General features: G+C 43.4%; 1 pseudogene across 2 annotated transcripts in view, besides 1 other annotated feature; it reads right to left on the reverse strand.

Annotated features, from left to right (window-relative positions):
• ADGRE4P (adhesion G protein-coupled receptor E4, pseudogene) overlaps positions 1 to 23034 on the reverse strand; it is a 47094-nt pseudogene that overhangs the window by 19103 nt on the left and 4957 nt on the right. The window contains exons 2-11 of one of the 2 annotated variants that reach the window (NR_024075.2): positions 20905 to 20990; positions 18927 to 18977; positions 16429 to 16551; positions 14836 to 14988; positions 11867 to 11910; positions 11220 to 11355; positions 7388 to 7495; positions 4631 to 4814; positions 2380 to 2544; positions 1309 to 1503 (exon numbers count right to left, since the gene is read on the reverse strand). The product of NR_024075.2 is annotated as an adhesion G protein-coupled receptor E4, pseudogene, transcript variant 1 (transcript). Of the gene's footprint in view, positions 1 to 1308; positions 1504 to 2379; positions 2545 to 4630; positions 4815 to 7387; positions 7496 to 11219; positions 11911 to 14835; positions 14989 to 16428; positions 16552 to 18926; positions 18978 to 20904; positions 20991 to 23034 lie in introns of both variants that reach the window. The other variant, NR_174976.1, reaches the window with a different exon arrangement.
• Positions 18102 to 18161: a silencer, noted in NCBI's record as "silent region_9970". NCBI's record gives its function as "represses an Ori minimal core promoter by ATAC-STARR-seq in GM12878 lymphoblastoid cells {active_cell/tissue: GM12878}" and the evidence as "EXISTENCE:reporter gene assay evidence [ECO:0000049][PMID:35858748]".

Here is a 23034-nt window from a genome sequence, read left to right on the forward strand (position 1 = left end):
TACTTACTCTTAACCATAAAACTATACTATTTCTCAGGAAAAAAAATTTAAATATAAACAGAGTGCTTTTGTAACTTTCTAGCTGTGTGATCATAGTGTTTTAGGGTTAACAGGAGACTTAGAGAACCATCTAGCTTTAAATCTTCCTGGATAATATGATGGCCAGGATCATGATAAAGATAAAAGTGAACATTGTTCTCTGAGTGATTAATTCATAATCTTTTATGTTTTGTCTTGCTAAGTTCTTACTAAATCCTATGATTAGGCCCCTGTTTTGCAGAGGAAGTTTAAAAAGGGGAAGCCACAAGAGATCTATTGTAAAACATGGTGATCATAGTTGCATGGTAACAATGTATGTATTCTTAAAAACTTTTAAAAGAATACGTTAGTGTTCTCATCACAAACACACACACACACACACAATAAAGCTGAGTATGTGAGGTGATGCAAATGTTAATTAGATCAACTGAGCCATTCTATGACGTATAATATTTCAAAACATGCTGTACAGAAAAAAAATATACATATACTTTATATTTTTCAGTTTAAAAATTAAATTTAAATAAATTAAAAGGGGAAGTCACTTCAACAGGTCTTACAGCAAGTAGGGTGAAGAGCTGCGATTCAAGCGCAGATCAGTGCAGCAAACCCACTGCCCACCAAAAATGCAAGCCTCTTCCCCACCCTCAAATCCAGAGTATAGATTTGTCACTAGGAAGTGGCTTCCCAGACAGAGACCACATTTCCCAACTGCCCTTGCAGTTATGTGTTATCATGTGACCGAGTCCTAGCCAATAGAGTGTGAGGGGAAGTGATATGCACCACTTCATGATGTGGCACATGTTAACCTCCCCCATGGGAACTCAGCCATGTTCTTTTCCCCCTCCGGGTTGGCTGATATGTGAACACCACGATGACCTTGGGAGCTGTGTATGGAAAATGACAGAGCCTCCCTCAACCTGAGGGTGCAGGATAGACACTCTTCAGACCTGTTTGCTCACCCTCTACTGATACATAAGGAAAAAATAACTCCTACTGTGGCAAGCCTGTGACATTCTGGAGTTGATCCTAACAACCGCTAATGTTACCCTATTTAATACCATCAGCCTGACACTCCATCACTTTGCTAAATGGCCCCTCAGAATGTAAAGGTCTTATTCCAACTTCTATAGGAGGACAACTGAAATGGAGCTCATACTTTTCCTCTCTACATCATCACTGCTGACTAATGCCTTGCTCTCCATCTTCTTGTGGGACAAGATGGCTGGATTCGTTATGGCAATGAGGTAATTTGGGTAAATTACCTACCTCAGGCTCAGTTCTGTTGATGCCCGTCAGGAACAGGAGGTGGGCCAGGAAGAGGCAGAGGGAGAGCTCTAGATGGAGGGAGGTGCTGGTGTTCTGGATGGGCCGGCACAGGAGGAAGGTGAGGATGGCCAGGAAGAGGCACAGCAGAGAGATGGTCAGCCCCACCTGGGTGATCACGGTCAGCACAGGGTCCTCCTGCAAAACACCAAAGGGGGAATCCATTATGGTGTCCGATGGTGTTGTTATTTTCCTGAGGTAGTGCCAGATGGGCTTCCTAGTTCAGTCCCTGAAACAATTGACTTACCTTTCTGAGACTTAGTGTTCTCATCTTCAAAATGAGGGCAGTAGTAACACTCATCACACAGGAATGTTAAAAACCAAAACAACTAGACCAGTGCTGGATACAGCTCTTAACAAATGACTAATGGGAGTTAGTGTATAAATACTCCAGCTCCCTTGCTGCTCAGATAGAATGACCCAGAGATGTGAGTTCTACACTGACTCCCAGAGTCCCCCAGAGGGAATAAATTCCAGTTACCTATGGTGGTAACTGGCTTGATAATGCTGTCTGCACTGACACCTGTCTTACTTCCATCTCATTGTCTCAGTCCCCCACTAGTGTTTCCTGTAATCCCCTTTCAAGTAAGCTACTACCATTTGACTCCTTGTCTTAGAATCTTTTTTCTTTTTCTTTTCTTTTTTTTTTTTACATGGAGTCTTCCTCTGTCACCGAGGCTGGAGTACAGTGGCATGACCTCGACTCACTGCAACCTCCACTTCCTGGGTTCACCCAATTCTCCTCCCTCAGCCTCCTGAGTAGCTGGGATTACAGGTGTGCACTACCATGCCCAGCTAATTTTGTATTTTTAGTAGAGACGGGGTTTCATCATGGTAGCCAGGCTGGTCTTGAACTCCTGACCTCAAGTGATCCACCTGCCTCGGCCCCCCAAAGTGCTGAGATGACAGGCGTGAGACACCGCGCCCGACCTTTAGAATCTTTTTGTAAGAAATGCAGAGGATAACTCACAAATTCTCGGACATACACAGGTTCACAGGAATGAATCTTGGTACCTTGGGGGCAAGAGCCACGAGGACGGCAAAGCTGGACAGATGGAAGCACTTGCATTTGGTGTAAGAACCGTTGCTGTGCACATGAGAGCAGCCCTCCGTGGACCAGCGGCCTCCCTCTGATCCCTCCCAGTAGACACAGATATGTTTTGTTCTCTTGTCACCAGGCTGGAAAGAGAATAGTATGAAAGTGGGTCTCTTCCTGGTTTTATTTTTTATTTTATTTTATTTTATTTTGAGATGGAGTCTTGCTCTGTCACCCAGGCTGGAGTGCAGTGGTGTGATCTCAGCTCACTGCAACCTCCGCCTCCCAAGTTCAAGTGATTCTCCTGCTTCAGCTTCCCAAGTAGCTGGGACTACAGGTGAACACTACCATGCCTGGCTAATTTTTGTATTTTTAGTAGAGGTGGGGTTTTGCCATGTTGGCCAGGCTGGTCTTGAACCCCTGGCCTCAAGTGATCCGCCTGCCTCGGCCTCCCAGAGTGCTGGGATTACAGGCATGAGCCAACATGCCTGGCATATTATTTCAACTTTACAGGTTAATCACAATGCACAGTGTTGGAAACTGGATCGGAAATACACTTGTAGGGGAAGAGTTTCACATCACCACGCCTGCGGTGGGTTTATTCTCCATCTATTCTGCCCTTCTCTGGTCAGCTCAGCACCCTGGGGTTGACCCTCTGAATGGCTTCGCCAGCTTCCTTGCTATTTATAGAAGCAAAGAGAGGCATTGGTGAGACTCACTGGGTGAGAGAAGAGAGAGAAATAAAGTATTTCTTCCCTGTGCCCTTTCTGCTTTGAGCCATCTCCAGTTTCTGCAGAGCGATCCCTCATTCCTGCCTCCAGCTTCCACTGAGCTCAATAGAGCTTCTCCTCCATTGCCTTTTGGCTTCAACGTGAGAATGGCATCTCACTGTGGCAAGCTCTGGATGCCTCAACACTTCCTTTCTTCCTGAGCTTTACTAAAGTGTGATTAACAAAGAAGAATTTGTATTTATACGTTTTGATAGATGTATACATTTTTAAATGATTACTACAATGAAGCTAACACATCCAACACCTCACATATTTTTGTGTGTGTGTGTGTGTGCGTGGTGAATACACTTGCAATGCACTCTCTCAGCAGATCTCAAGTGTACAATACATTATTAAGTGTAGTTACATTGAGTGTTGTACATTAGGCTGGGCATGGTGGCTCATGCCTGTAATCCCAGCACTTTGGGTGGCTGAGGCAGGCAGATCGCCTGAGGTCAGGAGTTTGAGACCAGCCTGGTCAACATGGTGAAACCTTGTCTCTACTAAAAATACAAAAATTAGCCAGGCATGATGGCAGGTGTCTGTAATCCCAGCTACTCGGGAGGCTGAGGTGGGAGAATCATTTGAACTCAGGAAGCAGAGGTTGCAGTGAGCCGAGATTGCACCATTGCACTTCAGCCTGGGTGACAGAGTGAGACCCTGTCCCTTAAGAAAAAAAAAAAACAAAAACTATTGGCCAGGCATGGTGTCTTACACCTGTAATCCCAGCACTTTGGGAGGCTGGGGTGGACGGATTACCTGAGGTCAAGAGTTCGTGACCAGCCTGGCCAACATGGTGAAACCCCGTCTCTACTGAAAATACCAAAAATTAGCTGGGTGTAGTGGCACACTCCTATAATCCCAGCTACTCGGGAGGCTGAGGCAGGAGAATTGCTTCAGCTGGGGAGATGGAGGTTGCAATGAGCCGAGATGACGCCACTGCACCCCAGCCTGGCCGACAGAGCGAGACTCTGTCTCAAAAAAAAAAAAAAAATCTTCATTCATCTGTTGACAGATACTTAGGCTGTTTCCATATCTCAGCTAGTGTGAATAATACTGCAATAAACACGAGAGTGCAGTTATCTCTTTGAGATCCTGATTTCAATTCTTTTGGCCACATACCCCAAAGTGGAATCGCTGGAACAGACGATAATTCTGTTTATAACTTTTTGAGAGGCCTCTGTACTGTTTTCCATAATGGCTGTACCACATTACATTTTCATCAGCAGATCTATAAGGGTTCCTCTTTTTTTTTTTTTTTTTTTTTTGCCACATACTGATATTTTAAGTTTTTGGTAATAGCCATCCTCACTGTGGTGAAGCAAAATCTCATTGAAGATGCCTCAGCGTGTCTTGTGTGTTCTCTTACTTCTGAATTCCGTTTCCTACTTGGGAAGCTGACTGCACCTGCTCACCCTTTAAGGTACTGCATGGAGACCCAGCCCTGGGTGTTTCTCACCTGATTATGGCGAAAAGTCAGGAACACAGGTTCAGAGAGGGAAATTTTTTCCTTCAAACCGACGGTGCCGCTCACAACGTAAGAGTTCAGTTTTACTTCCTGCATCCCTTTTCGTTTACTAAAAAAGGATGCATTCAGAATATCCCCAAGAGATTGATAAGTGATAGGGCAACTGCAGTGCTCTCTGAAGAAAAAAATGGAAAAGAAATACTGTTAGTGGCCATCCATAGTTTGGAGAGAAAGTACAGTACTCTCTAATGTGAGGGTCGTAGGGCAGGCAATGAATGGCTAAAACTGCCCTTGGAAATCCCTTAAATGCTGTTCAATACACCGTGTGTCGCTTGGGGTGCAGCATTTTTGTCTACGTAATATGTATTATAATGCCCCATACATTATAAGCGGTGCAAAATATGTGCAAAATATGTGCAAATTATGCTCTTCAGAGTCCTAAAAATATATATGAGCCCTTGAGCATTACAACCAGAGTTGTGAGGCAAGATGCTTGTCCTCAGAAGGGCACATGGAACTCACGCAGGCTAAGAAAACCACACTCTCTCAGCCTTCACCTCAAGCTCACTCCGGGGTACCTAATTTAGTGGAAAGGTATGCAGAATGACCCACTGTATTTAATTAATTCACTCATTTTTTCTCTTTCTCATCTTATTACCCTTCCTCTCCCTGTCTTCCTTTTCCCCCTCCCCTTTTCATGAAGCCACCGTTTAATGTATAGAGGTTCAGGCCGGGCGCGGTAGCTCACACCTATAATCCCAGCACTTTGGGAGGCTGAGGCAGGTGGGTCATCTGAGGTCAGGATTTCGAGACCAGCCCGCCCAACATGGCAAAATCCCATCTCTACTAAAAATACAAAAATTAGCCAGGCGTGGTGGCGGGTGCTTGTAATCCCAGTTACTCGGGAGGCTGAGGCAGGAGAATCGCCGGAACCCAGGAGGCGGAGGTTGCAGTGAGCCGAGATGGTGAATGGAGAATCCGACTCCAAAAAAAAAGAAAAAAAATCATGGAGGTTCAGTGCACACAGGACACCCGTATGATGGGAGTGTTTCCCAAATTGCAGTTATCCACGTGCTACCATCCCATTTTTGACCAAAGCTACTTATCATCTGTATTTCTATTTGCTCCATTTAAAAAATCCAACGCGGTTGGGCGTGGTGGCTCACGCCTGTAATCCCAGCACTTTGGGAGGCCGACGCGGGCAGATCATCTGAGGTCAAGAGTTCGAGACCACTTTGGCCAACACGGTGAAACCCCGTCTCTACTATAAATACAAACATTAGCAGGGCTTGGTGGCATGTGCTTATAATCCCAGCTACTTGGGAGGCTGAGGCAGGAGAATTGCTTGAACTCGGGAGGCAGAGGCTACAGTGAGCCGAGATTGTGCCACTGCACTCCAGCCTGGGCAACAGAGTGAGAGTCAGTCTCAACAACAACAACAAAATCAACTCATTTTTAGATCCCTTTCCTCCCTTTCCCTACTCTACCGCTCACAGTAAGGAGTGAAGATTAATGAATAACCAGGAATTTTTTGGAGGAAATGCAGCAGATATTTCATTTTTAAGGTAACCAGGTTTTTCTCTTTGAAATAGTTTATATGCATTCATTCATTTATGTTTCATGGAAATATTTATGTATCCTCTACTGTGTGCCAGACATTCTAGGAATTATTATACAGCAGTGAGCAAAACAGACAAAACCCCTGCCATCAGAGAGCTGACGATGTCGTAGTGAGAGAGATGGGCCACCAACAAATAAATAAATTAGAAAAAATACATAGTGCAGGAGCTTTGCAGAGACTTCAGGTGATGAGATAAAGTGTGGGTGAAACACTATGCCGTGAAGGTAAAACCCAGCCTGCCACCTGCTTTTGTAAATAAAGTTTTATAGACACACAGCCTCACTCCTTCACTGACACATCATCAATGGCTGCTTTCACACTCTGATGGCAGAGCTGAGTAGTTATGACAAAGGTCATCTGGAACAAAAGGCCTAACATATTTACTCTCTGGACCTTGTAGAGAACATTTGTTTTCCAATCTGTGGTAAAGAACAAGACTCGGCAGCTCTTTTAAAAAGGGTGTACATAAACGCTTCTCAAGGAAGTGTTCAAGGCAATCTGACACCATTGAGTGTTACCTTTTCAGACCATTACATGGAAACAGAGCATGCATCAGCCAGTCCCTTTTTTTTTTTTTTTTTTTTGAGACAGAATCTCACTCTTGTCACCCAAGCTGGAGTGCAATGGTGCGATCTTGGCTCATTGCAACCTCCGCCTTCTGGGTTCAAGCAATTCTCCGGCTTCATCCTCCCGAATAGCTGGGATTACAGTCACGCACCACCATGCCTGGCTAATTTTTGTGTTTTTAGTAGAGATGGGGTTTCTCCATGTTGGCCAGGCTGGTCTCAAACTCCTGACCTTGTGATCCACCCGCCTCACCCTCCCAAAGTGCTGGGATTACAGGCGTGAGCCACTGTGCCCGCCCAGCCAGTCCCTTTTAAGGAGGCATTTCAAGGAATCCTTATGCAAACCTTTGTGTATGTCACAAAATACACACCCCATGTGACAGCCCGACTTCTCTCTGCAAAATGCCTAGTTAGTGGTTACGGAAGATCATTTTATTCCACCATGTAGAATCTCCCTACCTTAAAAGCTTTGTGAATTCTCACCCCAGGGTTTAATCGCCTAGAAATAAAACAATGATGTGTAGAATTTGGAGTCAAGATAATTCATCGGAGATATGGTACCTCTTAGGTTTCCTTTTAAAGCATCAGCACAGTTGATATCCATGGTGTTATTTCCAGCTTCCAGAAAAGCATTCTCCCTTGTCTCATTGCACCTCTTGGTTTCATAGACTGAAAACATTAAGAAAGTCAGTCCTGTTCTCAAGTCTCATACCTAAATAATTTGCTAAAGAACTCCCTTTTCTGGAAGACCTCCTACTGGTGATTCCATCTCTCCTATGCAAGGTTGGCCACGTGGCACCTTGTTCCCATCTTTGGCTGGTAGAAATGGAGTGGCCAAAATGGCCTTAGCAACACACTGGCCACAGCCCAAGAGAGGAGAAGGGCATGCTTCCCAGAACTGGTACTCTGATAGGCAAGCTAAGCAGTTTCCACAGGACACTTAATGGTACCGGAGTCCCTGGTTAGGGGAGAATGCAATCTTTATAAGCAAGAGTAGCTAAGCATTTAAATGTTTTCCAAAAAAAAAATAGTCACTAGGAACAGAACTTCTGCATTTGGGAAGAATCCCTGTAAACCTATAAACACAAGAGCTGATCATTTTGTGAGGTCAACCTCAACATTTTGGGGTATACAGAGTTTGTCTCAGAACAAATGAGAAAACTGTCCTAGGTGCTATGGCAGACTGCTTATTACCTGTGATCACCATTTACCTATTCTTTCTTTGCATCTAGAACTACTAAATTTAAGCTGAAGACAAGCCATTTTCCAGCTTCCCTTGCAGCTAGGCAGAGCCATGCAACTATTTTCAGGCCAACGGATCAAAGAACAGAATGGCATGTGCTAAGGGAAACAGGCATCCTTTCAACTTCTCTTCTCCCCTTTTCATTGGCTGGTAAAAGGGTGTGATAGTACAACAACTCTCTTGTATCACAAAGTGAAGGTGAATGTTGAAGACAGCAGAGCACAGAGCTGGCATGGTATTGCTACATCAGCCCTGACTCACTTATGCTCAAACTATTCAAGAAATAATGGTTAAGCTGCTGTTTACCACGGTTATACCACCAGATTTGGTATGTTAATTCAGACACTAAGTTCACATGGAACATTTGCTAAAATAGACCATCAGTCAAGTCTCAACAAATTCAAAAGGATTGAAATCCTACATAGTGTGTGCTCAGACAACTCATCAAAAAGAGTATATATCACAACTATTTTTTCCTGGTAAGTAAGCCTGGTTTAACATATGTAAATCAATCAATAGGGTTCATCTCATTAACAGAATGAAAGATAAAAATCATCTCAATTGATGATAAAATGATCATCTCAATTGAGGTAGGAAAAAGCATTTGACAAAGTTCAATATCCTTTCTTGATTAAAACCCACAATAAATTAAATGAGGCCATTAACACAAGGAAACCTTAAAAAGCCACAAATATTTGGTAATTCAGCAACACACTTCTAAATAAACCATGAGTTAAATGATAGATTACACAGGAAATGTTTTAATATTTTGATCTAAATGATAATGAAAGCCCAGTATATGAAAACTTGCAGGATGCAGCTAAAGCAGTGCTTAGAGGGAAATATATAGCTCTAATTTATAGCTAAGTTTTAAGTTTTAAATGCATATATTGGGAAAGGAGAATGGTTTAAAATTAGTAATCTAAATAACCAAGACAACAAGTTAGAAAATGAAAAGCAAGGCCAGGCGCGGCGTGATGGCTCACGCCTGTAATCCCAGCACTTTGGGAGGCCGAGGCGGGTGGATCATGAGGTCAGGAGATTGAGACCATCCTGGCTAACATGGTGAAACCCTGTCTCTACTAAAAATACAAAAAATTAGCCGGGCGTGGTGGTGGGCGCCTGTAGTCCCAGCTATTCGGGAGGCTGAGGCAGGAGAATGGCGTAAACCCGAGAGGCAGAGCTTGCAGTGAGCCGAGATCGCGCCACTGCACTCCAGCCTGGGCGACAGAGCGAGACTCCATCTCAAAAAAAAAAAAAAAAAAAAAGAAAGAAAATGAAAAGCAAGTTCCACCCAAAGAAAGTAAAAGGAAAGAAATAATAAAGAACAAAAATCAAAGAGAAAGGAAATGGAATAATAATATAAATAATCAACAAAGCCAAAAATTGGTTCTTTGAAATGATTAACAGATACAGAGGTCAGAAAGAAACCAGAGTTCCTGACATAGAGTTCCTAAAACCCTTAGAGTTTCCTGAGCAATAGAATCACTAGGAAAATCTTTTGTTCTGATATTTGGTCTTGGACTCAAGTTGCTGACATATAGTCCCTAAGACCGTTGTAATTTCCTGAGTGACAGGAGTGTGTGACTCAACTCTGAAATCCTTTGTACTTTCTTGGTTATAGAAATATCTTTTATTCTAATGTAGTGACTCTTAGCCAGCTCCTGGATAGCCTCAGGATGGGGGTGGTTGCCAAGGAAACCAATGGTGAGATTAAAGGGTTGGAACTTTCAGTTTCACCCCCATCCCAGATACAGGAAGAGGAGGGGGGCTAAATGTTGAGTTGGTATCAATGGCCAATAATGTACCCAATCGTGCCTAACTAACGAACCCTCCATACAAATCCAAAAGATTTGTTAAGCTGTCTAGGAGATTCTAGATTGCTGAACATGTGTGGGTCCCCGGGGTGGCACCTCTAAAGAGGGCTTGGAAGCTCTGCACCTCTTCTCCCATACCTTGCCCTGTGCATGTCTTCCATCTGGCTGTTCATCTGTATCATTTGTTTATATATATATATGTGTGTGTGTGTGTGTGTGTGTGTGTGTGTGTGTGTGTATATGTGTGTGTATATATATGTATATAAATGTGTGTATATAAATGTGTGTATATATATACACACACATACACACATATAATATATATAAATATATATTTATGTTTTATATTTTTATTTTAATATATATATTTTTTGAGATGGAGTCTCACTCTGTTGCTCAGGCTTGAGTGCAGTGGTGCAATCTCAGCTCATTGCAACCTCTGCCTCCTGGGTTCAAGCGATTCTCCTGCCTCAGCCCCCTGGGGAGCTGGGATTACAGATGCGTGCCACCATGTCCAGCTAATTTTTGTATTTTTTTTTTTTAGTAGAGATGGGGTTTTGCCATGTTGGCCAGGCTGGTCTTGAACTCCTGACCTCAGGTGATCCACTTGCTTCGGCCTCCCAAAGTGGCATGACCCACCACACCCAGCCCATTTGTAATATATTTTTAATAAATGGATAAATGTAAGTAAAGTGCTTTCCTGAGTTAAGCGAGTCACTCTAGCAAATTACTCAAACCCAAGGAAGGGGTCATGGGACTCTAATTTACTGCCTGTCAGTTGGACGTACGGGTTACAACCTAGAACTTGGGATTGGCATTTGAGGTGAAGAATACTTTTGTGGGACTAAGCTTGCAGCCTGTGGGATCTGACGCTCTCTTTGGTTGATAATGTCAGATAATGTCATAATTGAATTGTAGAACACCCAGCTGGGGTCCACTGGAGAACTGTGTGGTCAGTGTGGAAAAGGAGCCCACAATAATTTGGTGACCAGAGATGAAGTATTCCGTGTTCTTGTTACTATGTGAGAGTAGAGTAGGAAAATAACCGAGGTTTTTTCTATCCCCTAGCCATGGTGGCATAGCGAATATGCTCTTAAATACTTTCCATCATACCAAGGGAAGTTGAAAAGAAGAAGAGAGCTGGTTTATTCTCTTGTCCCTTGAATTTGCATTTTTGAAAATGGAGTCCTTCTCATGTAGAATGTTGGTGTAGAGGGTCTGTGATCCTGAGAGCCCACAGATTTCATCATTCAGAAACCCTGACAAAGCCAGGACCCAGACGTCTTTATGGTCTTTATGGAGGGTCATAAAGACTCTACTCAGCCTCTCTTACCTATATCAAATTCAGAAATTTGACCCTTTCCTGGAGAAGCAAAACTCGCATTCCAGATGCTCAACTCCACGCTTTGAATTAGTTGAGTAGCCCTTCTTGCAAAGTCCTCTCTGCTTCCATTTCTTCTCAGATTTTCCTTCCAAAAAAATTAAGCTAATTAGATTGACTCTTACTGAAATGTAAGAAATAGGGAATATGCACAAGTGTTGGAGTGGGGAGCCCAGAAGGCAACGATATTTATTAAGGTGCTACAAGGTGCGTGTGGCATTGAGAATCTAGGTGCTTGATGTAGGTCTTTGAATGCCAGCTGAGGCACTTTCCCCCTACGCTTGTATTTCTCTATCTCTATGGACATGTGGCACTAGGCACTTCTTGATTGTGGGAGGCTGTCCTGGGCACTGTAGGATGTTGAGCTGTATCCCTGGTCTCCATCCACCAGATGCCAGTCACACACATCACCCCCAAGGTATGACAACCAAAAGTGTCCCCAGACATTGACAGATGACCTTGGGACAGAGGACAAAATTACCCCTGGATAGAACTACCCTACCCTAAAAATCACAGGAAGACATGTTAATGTTTGGGTAGGAAAATGGCATAGTTATACGTACCAGCTGTTTCCCAAATCCAGGCTTCACCCCACTCACCCAAATATCCACGTTTGACTGTGTCGTCCCTTGACTATTGTTCTCTGTGAAAGAAAAGATGTCATTGAAAGAGATATGGGAGAAAATACACCCTGCTTACATCCCTTCTTCTAGTCACCCTCAAGTTGAGTCTTTCCCTAATAATTCTGCAGCCCATCCTAATTCCCCTCTAAGAAGCCTAAAAGGTATTGCACAGTAGAATTATAAAAGAGAATTAGAATGGGTCTTCCAGTTTCATATTGAGTTGGTGCAAAAGTAATGGTCATCTTTGCCATTGAAAGAAATGGCAAAAACCGCCATTACTTTTGCACCAACCTATTGCTTTAGTCAACACTGTTTATTCGGCACCTACTCAATACCAGGCACAACGCTGAACTATATGGATATAGGCTAGGAAAAGAAACCAAGGTATCCCCTTGTGGAATCTGAAGTCTGGCAGGAAAGTCATTAAGCAAGTTATTATCAATAAATAATTAAGCAATTGCAAGGGACGCTCTTAATAAATAGAACATGACATGTGGACAAAAAGATGGGAACTATAGACAGTGGGGACTACTAGAGGGAGAGGGTGGGAGGCTGATGAGGGCTGAAAAGCTACATATCAGGTACTATGCCCACTACCCGGGTGATGGGAACATTCTTACACCAAACCCCAGAGACACGCAATTTACCCACGCAACAAACCTGCACATGTACCACCCCCAAACCTAAAATAAAATAAAACAGGACTTCCCAAAATCAATCAATCAATAATAAATAGGACACAATGGTGTGGGAGTATATAGCAGAGGGTCCCAACACATCAGGGTGACATGGAAGAAATCAGTGTTAATTGAGTTAATATTATAGAAGCAGTTGCCTACACATCACAGTATATAACGTGCCTTCATATATATTATCTCATTTCAAGGAACACTGAAGGTTGTAGAAAAGGCATATACAGCATAATATCCAGTATTAACTGACCCTTCCTAGGTGCCTAGGACTGTTAAATATTTCACATACATTAATAATGAGTAGGGGCCGGGTGCAGTGGCTCACGCCTGTAATCCTAGTACTTTGGGAGGCCGAGGCGGGCGGATCATTTGAGGTCAGCAGTTCAAGGCCAGTGTGGGCAACATGGTGAAACCCTGTCTCTACCAAAAATGCAAAAATTAGCCAGGTGTGGTGGCACATGCCTGTGGTCCCAGCTACTCAAGGCTGAGGTGGGAGGATCGCTTGAGCCTGGGAGGCAGAGGTTGCAGTCAGCCAAGATCACACTACTGCACTCCAGCCCGGGTAACAGAGTGAGACCGCATCTCAAAAATAATAATAATGAATAGGTAAGGTGTATTAATTTGCTAGGGTTTCCATAATATAGTGACACAAATTGGGTGGCTTAAAGCAATAGAAATATATTGTCTCATAGTTCTGGAGGGCAGAAGTCCAAATCAAGATGCCAGCAAGACCATGCTCCCTCTGAAGGCTCCAGGGAAACACCTTGCCCTGCCTCTTCCAGCCTCTGGTGGTTGCCATCAATCTCTGACATTCCTTGCCCTTTGGCAGCATAATTCCAATCTTCACCTCTGTCTTCACATGGCCATCTTCCCTGTGTGTGTGTCTCTGTGTCCAAATATCCTTCATCTTATAAGGACACCAGTCATGTAGGATTCAGGGTCCACTCTGATCTAATATGACCACATCTTGACTTATTACATCTACAAATACCCTATTTCCAGATAAGATCACATTCACAGATTCCAGGTGGAATCAGTTTGGGGAGAACACTATTCAGCCCAGTAAGAAGGAATCAGAAATGGCTCCAAATAATCCCTGCCTCTTGGAATTCACATCCTTGGGTAATCTTCCCTTGACTGTGGACTGGACTAAGTGACTCATTTCTAAGGAACAGAATATGGCAAACATGATAGGATGTCACTTCTGAGAGTGGGTTATAAAAGACTATGACTCCTGTCTTATTCATGCTCTCTTTCTGGCTATTCTAATGTGTTTGCTATAACAAAGCAAGCTGTAGAGACCCACATATCTAGGAACTAAAGGCTGCCTCCCACCAGCCACCAGAAATGAACTGAGGGTTTCAGTCCAATAGCTCTGAAGGAACTAAATTCTCCCAGCAACCTTGTGAGTAGCTTGGAAGCAGAACCTGCCCCAGTCGAGTCTCCAGATGAAACCACAGCCTGGATAAAACCTCAATTGCAACTGTGATAGACCCAGAAGCAAAAGACTCAGCTAAGCCATGCTTAGTTCCTTAACCCAAAGAAACTATGAAACAATACATATGTGTTGTTTTAGGCCACTAAATTTGGGGATAACTTGTTATGCAGCAACACAGAACTGACACAGTAGATACTATTAATATTACTACTCCCATTTAAAGATGAGGTATATAGAAATTAAGTCATTAACTGAAAACCAGATGGTAAGTGGAAGATTTAGCACTTAAATCCCATCTCTCTTACCCAAAAAGTGAAATAATACTGGAATTAAACAAATAAATAAATTGTGGATAGTGAGAGACAGGTTTCTCATTGTTGGAGAAGGAAGCTACAAATAAGGAAAGAGGGAAGTTTCCGACAAGCCTTGATGTTGAACTGGAACCAGAGGTATCAGTGTGAATTCGTCAGATTTAGTAGATAGGTAGATAGACATAAAAATTGAATTTAAGGTGAGTGAGAGATGAATAAATAGAGAAATTCAGAAGAAATTTAGAGCTGCCCTTTTGGAAGCTCAGGAAACAGACCTGTATTGGACACATACATTTGGAAGCATCTATATAGAGATAGTTATTGATGCCAAGGCTTGGATGACACCATCTTGGAAAATATCATCAAAGACAACAAAGGAATGAGGGACGAGGGTTAGGATGGAGCTTTGCACTCTTACCCTGGCCTGAAATTAGAGAATCTCTCAGAGTCTCCCCCAAGTCCCCACCATTTTTCATAGTGGAAATAGGATTTGGAGGTTCTTACCGTAACAATCCGGATGATCATAATCTATAATACCAGCCAGAAAGTTGAATAAAGTATATTTTACCAAACAGCTACAGATGTAACCTCCAACTTTATTCCTACAATATGCTTTATACTTGCACTTTGCCAGCCCGGTTTCACATTCATTAATATCTGTGAATCAAGAGAAAGTGTTGCTTTCATTTTCATAGAATTATACCATTTCCCTTGCCCATGAAATTTTTATTGCCCAACCATTGTCCATCAATGTTCTCCCTAAGTTAATTTATAAATCCAATGCAATTCCAATTTTAAAAACATCTACATGTATTTTACGGGGTGAGAGACAAGTTGTTACTATCATGCAGGTGTAGCCAGAAAAAACTACAAGGTGGGAACCAGACATTAAAACAAAGTATAAAGCTGCAACTAAACAAAGAGGTACTGATGCATGCATAAATAAAAATAGACTAATGGAATAGACTAGAAGTCCAGACACAGATGCAAGTACCTATGGAGCTTTAGAACATGGTAAAGGTGGCATGTCAAATCACTAGAATAAGGATGGAATGTTGCTGTTTTTAATGTTGTTTTTAAGTCACGCCATTTGCTAAATCAATTTAACACACATAGTGCATAGCAGGGGAATAAATATACGGTAAGTTAACACACTATTAGAAAAGCTTGAGAGAGATGAGGAAGGACCACACTACTAAAATCCTGGCTCAGCCGGGCACGGTGGCTCACGCCTGTAATCCCAGCATTTTGGGAGGCTGAGGCGGGTGGATCACCTGAGGTCAGGAGTTCGAGACCAGCCTGGCCAACATGGTGAAACCCTGTCTCTACTAAAAATACAAAACTTTGCTGGGTGTGGTGGCACGTGCCTGTAATCCCAGCTACTCAGGAGGCTGAAGCAGGAGAATCGCTTGAACCCAGGAGGCGGAGGTTGCAGTGAGCTGAGATCGCGCCATTGCACTCCAGCCTGGGCAACAGAGTGAGGCTCTGACTAAAAAAAAAAAAAAAAAAAAAAAAAGGCGGGGCACGGTGGCTCACACCTGTAATCCCAGCATTTTGGGAGGCCGAGGCGGGCGGATCTCGAGTCCAGGAGATTGAGACCATCCTGGCGAACATGGTGAAACCCCGTCTCTACTAAAAACACAAAAAATTAGCAAGGCATGGTGGCAGGCGCCTGTAGTCCCAGCTACTCAGGAGGCTGAGATAGCAAAATGGCGTGAACTCAGGAGGCGGAGCTTGCAGTGAGCAGAGATCGCGCCACTGCACTCCAGCCTGGGCAACAGTGACTTATGCAATGTTTATGTGTCTTGCCTCTCCCAACCACATCAGCCTTCCGTGCTGAATGGACCAGAGCTGAGGTTCAAGCAAGGGACCCACAGGCAGAAGGTGCTCTGGACCACAGACTTATACTTGTGCTCTCCATCTGAAGGACTCAGGGACAAGCACACCTGGCCAATGGCTGTACTTTGTCAAATAGTCTGCTGAAGAGGTACGGGTTTTATTTGGGCTATGGGTTTATGTGTTTTGGGCAGAGGACACATGGAACAGAATAGTTATCACTAATGAGAGATTAAATTAAAACCCCGTTAATATTTTTACCTTCACACTTCTCAGAGGAATCATGAAAGTATGTCCTGCCAGACCTGGCCCGAAAGCCATCTTCACAAGTACAGTGGGTGCTGTTGTGGCAGCTGGCATATTTAGGGCATGGAGGACAGGAAGCTGCAGAGAAACAGAAATATTCAGTATGCATCTACCACGTACCGATGCTGCGGTCAGAAGAATGTCATCTTAGGAATGCCTCTGTTGGCATCCTTTTGGCACCCAGCCCATTGCTGAACACAGTGGCACACAGTGCCCAGCCGTGTCCCACTTCTGCCACCAACACCACTTTTGCCAGATAGGTGAACCTCCAAATGCCGGCACCTGTGTTTCTTTCCTTGCAGGCTAACCCTGGCTACCAGAATTCTCTTTGTTCATCACATGGCAGGTTAACAATGCCTTTCCTAAGTAGCTCCCTTTATCAATGATTGATAGAAGATAGTGCATTAAAAAAAAGCCAATTTCATTATTATTTAAAAAAAAAAAACAGAAAATAACAAGTGTTGGTGAGAATGTAGAGAAAATGGAACCCTGGTGCACTGCTGGTAGAAATGTAAAATGATGCACTGTCTATGAGACACAGTATGGCAATTCCTCAAAAAATTCTAAATCAGAATTACCATATGATCTTACCATATGATCCAGCAATCACACTTCTGGGAATATATGCAAAGGAATCAAAAGCAGTGTATAGAAGAGATATTTGTCCACTCATGTTCATATCAGCATTATTCATAATAGCCAAATGTTGTATGTAACCCAGGTGCCCACGAATGAATAAATGAATGAACAAAATGTGGTCCATCCACACAGTAGTACGTTATTCAGCCTTTAGAAAGAAGGAAATTCTGGCCGGGCATGTTGGCTCACATGCCTGTAATCCCAGCACTCTGGGAGGCCAAGGTGGGTGGATCACCTGAGGTCAGGAGTTCGAGACCAGCCTGACCAACATGGTGAAACCTCGTCTCTACTAAATGCAAAATAAATAAATAAATAAATTAGCCTGGCATGGTGGTGCATGCCTATAATCCCAGCTACTTGGAAGGCTGAGGCAGGAGAAACGCTTGAACCCGGGAGGTGGAGGTTGCAGTGAGCCAAGATTGCACCATTGCACTCCAGCCTGGGCAACAAGAGTGAAACTCAGTCTCAAAAAAAAAAAAAAAGGAATGAAATTCTTTTTTTTTTTTTTTTTTTTTTTTTTTGAGACGGAGTCTCGCTCTGTCGCCCAGGCCGGACTGTGGACTGCAGTGGCGCAATCTCGGCTCACTGCAAGCTCCGCTTCCTGGGTTCACGCCATTCTCCTGCCTCAGCCTCCCGAGTAGCTGGGACTACAGGCGCCCGCCACCGCGCCCGGCTAATTTTTTGTATTTTTAGTAGAGACAGGGTTTCACCTTGTTAGCCAGGATGGTCTCGATCTCCTGACCTCATGATCCACCCGCCTCGGCCTCCCAAAGTGCTGGGATTACAGGCGTGAGCCACCGCGCCCGGCCAAAAGGAATGAAATTCTGACACATGCTACACCATAAACGAACCTTGAGGACATTATGCTCCATGAAATAAGCCAGGACAAAGCGTCAAATAATGTATGATTCCACTCCTATGAGATCCAATCCCAGAGTTGCTGGATTCATAGAGACAGAAAGTAGAATGGCGGGTGCCAGGGCCTTGGGGAGGAGGAATGGGGAGTTCGTGTTTCATAGAGACAGAGTTTCAGTTCTGCAACTAGAAAGAACACTGTGGGTGGATGGTGGTGATGGTTGCATAACAGTGCAAATGTTGAATGGCATTGACCTGTACCCTTGACAATGGTTAAAAAGCTACATTTTACGTTGTGTACATTTTACCACAATTTAGAACATAGTCATAATCAATAGCTTCCTTACCCATTGAGGGGTACAAATCTGAGGTGCCTGCTCCATGCCATACCCAACAGCTGCCTCCAGGGATTAAACTCCAGCTGCCCGCATCTAACTTGCTTGATAAAGATCCTATATGAGCTCCTCCCCTTCCTATGCCACTGCCCACTCCCAGCTGGTGCCTCCTAGGATTCCCTCCCAGAACAACGAGTTGCTCTCAGGGTCGGCTTCTGGGGGAACCCAAGCAATGACTTGTGGTGAAGGCAAAGTATTTCCTGGAATGACTCAAGACACAGGTTTGGGGAAAGAAAGAGGACAGTCTAGCATCCACCAGCCATGTGACCTTGAGCCAGCCACTTCTCTGGAGGACCCTTGATCAAGTGGGTATAATGCCCATGCTGAGTTTGTAGGATTGTTGTGGGGATTAACTGAGATGGCACGTGTGATGTGCTTTGCTATGTAAATGCAGATGATGGTGATGATGGAGATGGGAAAACAGCTCTTGGGACCTCCAAAGAGTCAGAAGAAAGTGCCAGAGACTCCATGCTCTGTCTCTTGAAAAAGCTCCTTCCCTCCTCCAAAGGAAGCTTCCAGATCCCAATTTCCTTTCCCCTGGCCTTTGGCTATGAATAGACTCACCTCCAGAATTCTTGGCTTCTGATCCTGGCAGAGCCAGTAAGACAGTGAGACCTGGAACAGAGAGAGGAGGGGATCATTCAGACGGGGATCCCCTGGACTCTGCGTGGCTGAAGACTAGGTGAGTTAGGGGCAACTAACCCTAACTCTTTGCCCAGTCACACGTGCAAGCTTCACCATAGCATCTTCCAGGCAGGTTACAAACACAAGAGTCACAGATTTGGACATCACATCCTTCTGAAGTATGAGAAGTGCATCTGATTGCAGCTGTGTTTCCCAATTTCAGAAAACTCAGCAGCAAATTCAGCTTCTTCTCTACATCCTAGCACCAAAAGACCAAGTTGGCAATCTCCTTTCCATATTCAACAGTTTATTTTAATATCAGTCCAGACCTCGAACCACACACTGTCCGAGAAAAATATAATGGAAACCCCATAGGTCCTTTTAAATTTTCCATTACCGACAATTTTTTGTCTTTTGAGACAGAGTTTTGCTCTGTCGCCCAGGCTGCAGTGCAGTGGCACGATCTCAGCTCACTGTAACCTCCGCCTCCTGGGTTCAAGCAATTCTCCCACCTCAGCCTCCCAAGTAGCTGGGATTACAGGCACCCACCACCATGACCGGCTAATTTTTGTATTTTTAGTAGAGATGGGGTTTCACCATGTTGGCCAGGCTGGTCTCCAACTCCCGACCTTGTGATCCGCCCACCTCGGCCTCCCAAAGTGCTGGGATTACAGCTGTGAGCCACCACGCCTGGCTGACATGGACATTTTTATGACCTAAAACACTCAACACCAATTTTCCTGTGAATAATTTTTTTTCAGAGAGAAATATCACTTGATTCCCATAGGGTAGGGGACAGCAAACTGGACTTATGAGTTGAGGTGACTTTTATATTTTTTACATAAAACATTTTAAATGGTTGGAAAAAAACAAAAGAAGAAGAATACTTAATGGCCATGAAAACCATGTGAATTTTAGCTGCCTATGTCTGTAAATAAAGTTTTACTGACACGCAGCCACATCCATTCATTTACATGAGGTCTATGGATGCTTTAGGGCTGGAATAGCTGAGTTGAGTAGTTAAGACAGAGACCATACGGGCCACAAAGCTGAAATTCAAATTACCTGTCCCTTTACAGAAAAAAATATGCTTGCCCCTTACATAGAGTATGGAACATCACTTACCTGTAAGGTCTCTTAACAAACCTTCCATCCTTAAACTGCATCTGATGCCTCCTATGGAGATTTCTTTTTCTCATCTCTAAGACCCTAAAGCCCAGAGGACAGGGTGGGAAGGTCTAGGTTGTAACTTACTGAGCTATGACGCTCCAAGTGCGGACCCATTTGGTGTCAATCCATGTAGCAGATACTCGAAGTGACCCTTTAGCCTACCCCAGAGAGGGTTCCTATAAATGCAGATGACTTTCTTTTTCGTTCTTTCTTTCTTTCTTTCTTTTTTTTTTTTTTTTTGAGACAGAGTCTCACTCTGTCATCCAGGGCTGGAGTGCAGTGGCGGAATCTTGGCTCACTGCAACCTCTGCCTTCCAGGTTCAAGTGATTCTCCTGCCTCAGCCTCCAGAGTAGCTAGGATTATGGGCGTCTGCCACCACGCCCGGCTAACTTTTTTTTTATTTTTAGTAGAGACGAGGTTTCACCATGTTGGCCAGGCTGGTTTCAAACTCCTGACCTTAAGTGATCCACCCGTCTTGGCCTCCTAAAGTGCTCTTCACTCTTTCTTGCGTGGCCTCCCCACACCCTCCTTTCCTGGGATCCCCTCCCAAAAAAACTATTTACACACATGAGTCCTTGTTTTCGTTCTGCTTTGGGGCAGCCCAGCCTAACTGACTCAAGAGGAGAGTTTCTACTAGGACAGGCACACGCAGTTATTGCTGGAGAAAATGCCAAATTTGAGGAAGCAAATCAAGCGAGGACACCAGGGGCATGAGGAGAAGGAAAGGGAGTTCTTTGCTCCACTTACCTGAGAGCAGGACCAGGAGGAACCTGCTCCCCATAGCACTGAGACGCCGGGAACAATCTCTCTGAAGCAGGACGTGGTCAGAATGCCTGGAACAAATAAACCTCATGAAATCCAATTTCTGATGGTCCCAAGTTCAGAAGCCCCGTGGCCAGTGCTTATCAAAATGTAAGGCTGAGGCAGGAGAATTGCTTGAAACCAGGAGGCAGAGGTAGCAGTGAGCCGAGATCGCATCACCGCACTCCAGCCCGGGCGACAGAGCAAGACTCCATCTCGAAACCAACAAACCAACAAACCAACCAACAAACAAAAAAAACCCTTTAATCTCTCCCTCTCGTTTGACCCAATAATTCTGCCTCTGGGTAACTCTCTCAAGGAAAACACCCTGCGAGGATGATCTTAGCGTATTTGGTTATAGGGAACAAGTTTATCACCCAACAAATGCTAAAAAAAACGGATGCATCTGAGGAAATATAAGGCTGGAATTTAAAATCCTGTTCTATCGCAGTCGGCAAGATCAAGACTGCAAAACTCCACAGGACAAACTACTCACTTTTTATTTATTTATTATTATTTTTTTTTTACATTGCTGTCATTGATTTGTTTATATTTAATTTTTAAATTCATAAATAATTATATATGCTTATGGGCTATAATATGTTTTGACATTGTGGAATGATTTTTTTTTTTTTTTTGAGATTGAGTCTGGCTCTGTCGCCCAGGCTGGAGGGCAGTGGCGCGATCTCGGCTCACTGCAAGCTCCGCCTCCCGGGTTCACACCATTCTCCTGCCTCAGCCTCCCGAGTAGCTGGGACTACAGGCGCCCGCCACCACGCCCGGCTAATTTTTTGTATTTTTAGTAGAGACAGGGTTTCACCATGTTAGCCAGGATGGTCTCGATCTCCTGACCTTGTGATCCACCCGCCTCGGCCTCCCAAAGTGCTGGGATTACAGGCGTGAGCCACCGCCCCCGGCTGACATTGTGGAATGATTATATCAAGACAATTAACGTATGTATCACCTCACATACCTATCATTTTTCGGTATGAGAACTTTTAAAATCTACTCTTTCAGCCATTTTGAAATACACAATATAGGCCGGGAACAGTGGCTCACACCTTTAATCCCAGCACTTTGGGAGAACGAGGTGGGCGGATCACCTGAGGTCAGGAGTTAAAGACCAGCCTGGTCAACATGGTGAAAATAATATAATATATAATATATTATTAATATATAATATATTATTAATATATAATAAAATTAATATATTAATATAATATGTTAATGTAATACATCAATATATTAATATACTAAATCAATATAATACATTGATATATTAATATAATACATTAATATATTGATATATTAATATAATACATTAATATATTGATATATTAATATAATACATTAATACATTGATATATTAATATAATACATTAATACATTAATATATTAATATAATACATTAATACATTAATATATTAATAAATATTAAATATATATTTAATATATATTTATATAAAAGGTTACTATCTGTTTTAGGAAAATGTTAGCATTCTATATACAATTATCCATATATGCATGTATGTGTATTTATATGTGTATATACAAAATCATACATACAAATGTACAAACATATAAATGCATCAAATGCATGTATATATGTATGATAATTTTGTATTTGCATAAAATATTCCTGGAAGGTACCTAAGAAACTCATAGCATCGGTTGCTTTTGAAAACAAATGTATGCGAGGCTTAATACCTAGGTGATGGATTGATAGGTGCAGCAAACCACCATGGCACATGTTTACCTATGTAACAAACTCGCACGTCCTGCACATATATCTTGGAACTTAAAATAAAGTAAAATTTATTTATTTATTTATTTATTTATTTTGAGACGGAGTCTCACTCTGTCGCCCAGACTGGAGTGCAATGGCCCTATCTCGGCTCACTGCAACCTCCGCCTCCCGGGTTCAAGCGGTTCTCCTACCTCAGCCTCCCCAGCAGCTGGGATAACAGGCACCTGCCACCACGCCTGGCTAATTTTTTGTGTTTTTAGTAGAGACAGGGTTTCGCCATGTTGGCCAGGCTGGCCCTCCTCAGCCTCCCAATCCCAAAATGCTGGGAT

The sequence above is a fragment of the Homo sapiens genome, chromosome 19 (assembly GCF_000001405.40).
Source record: "Homo sapiens chromosome 19, GRCh38.p14 Primary Assembly".
Classification (NCBI taxonomy): Eukaryota; Metazoa; Chordata; class Mammalia; order Primates; family Hominidae; genus Homo; species Homo sapiens.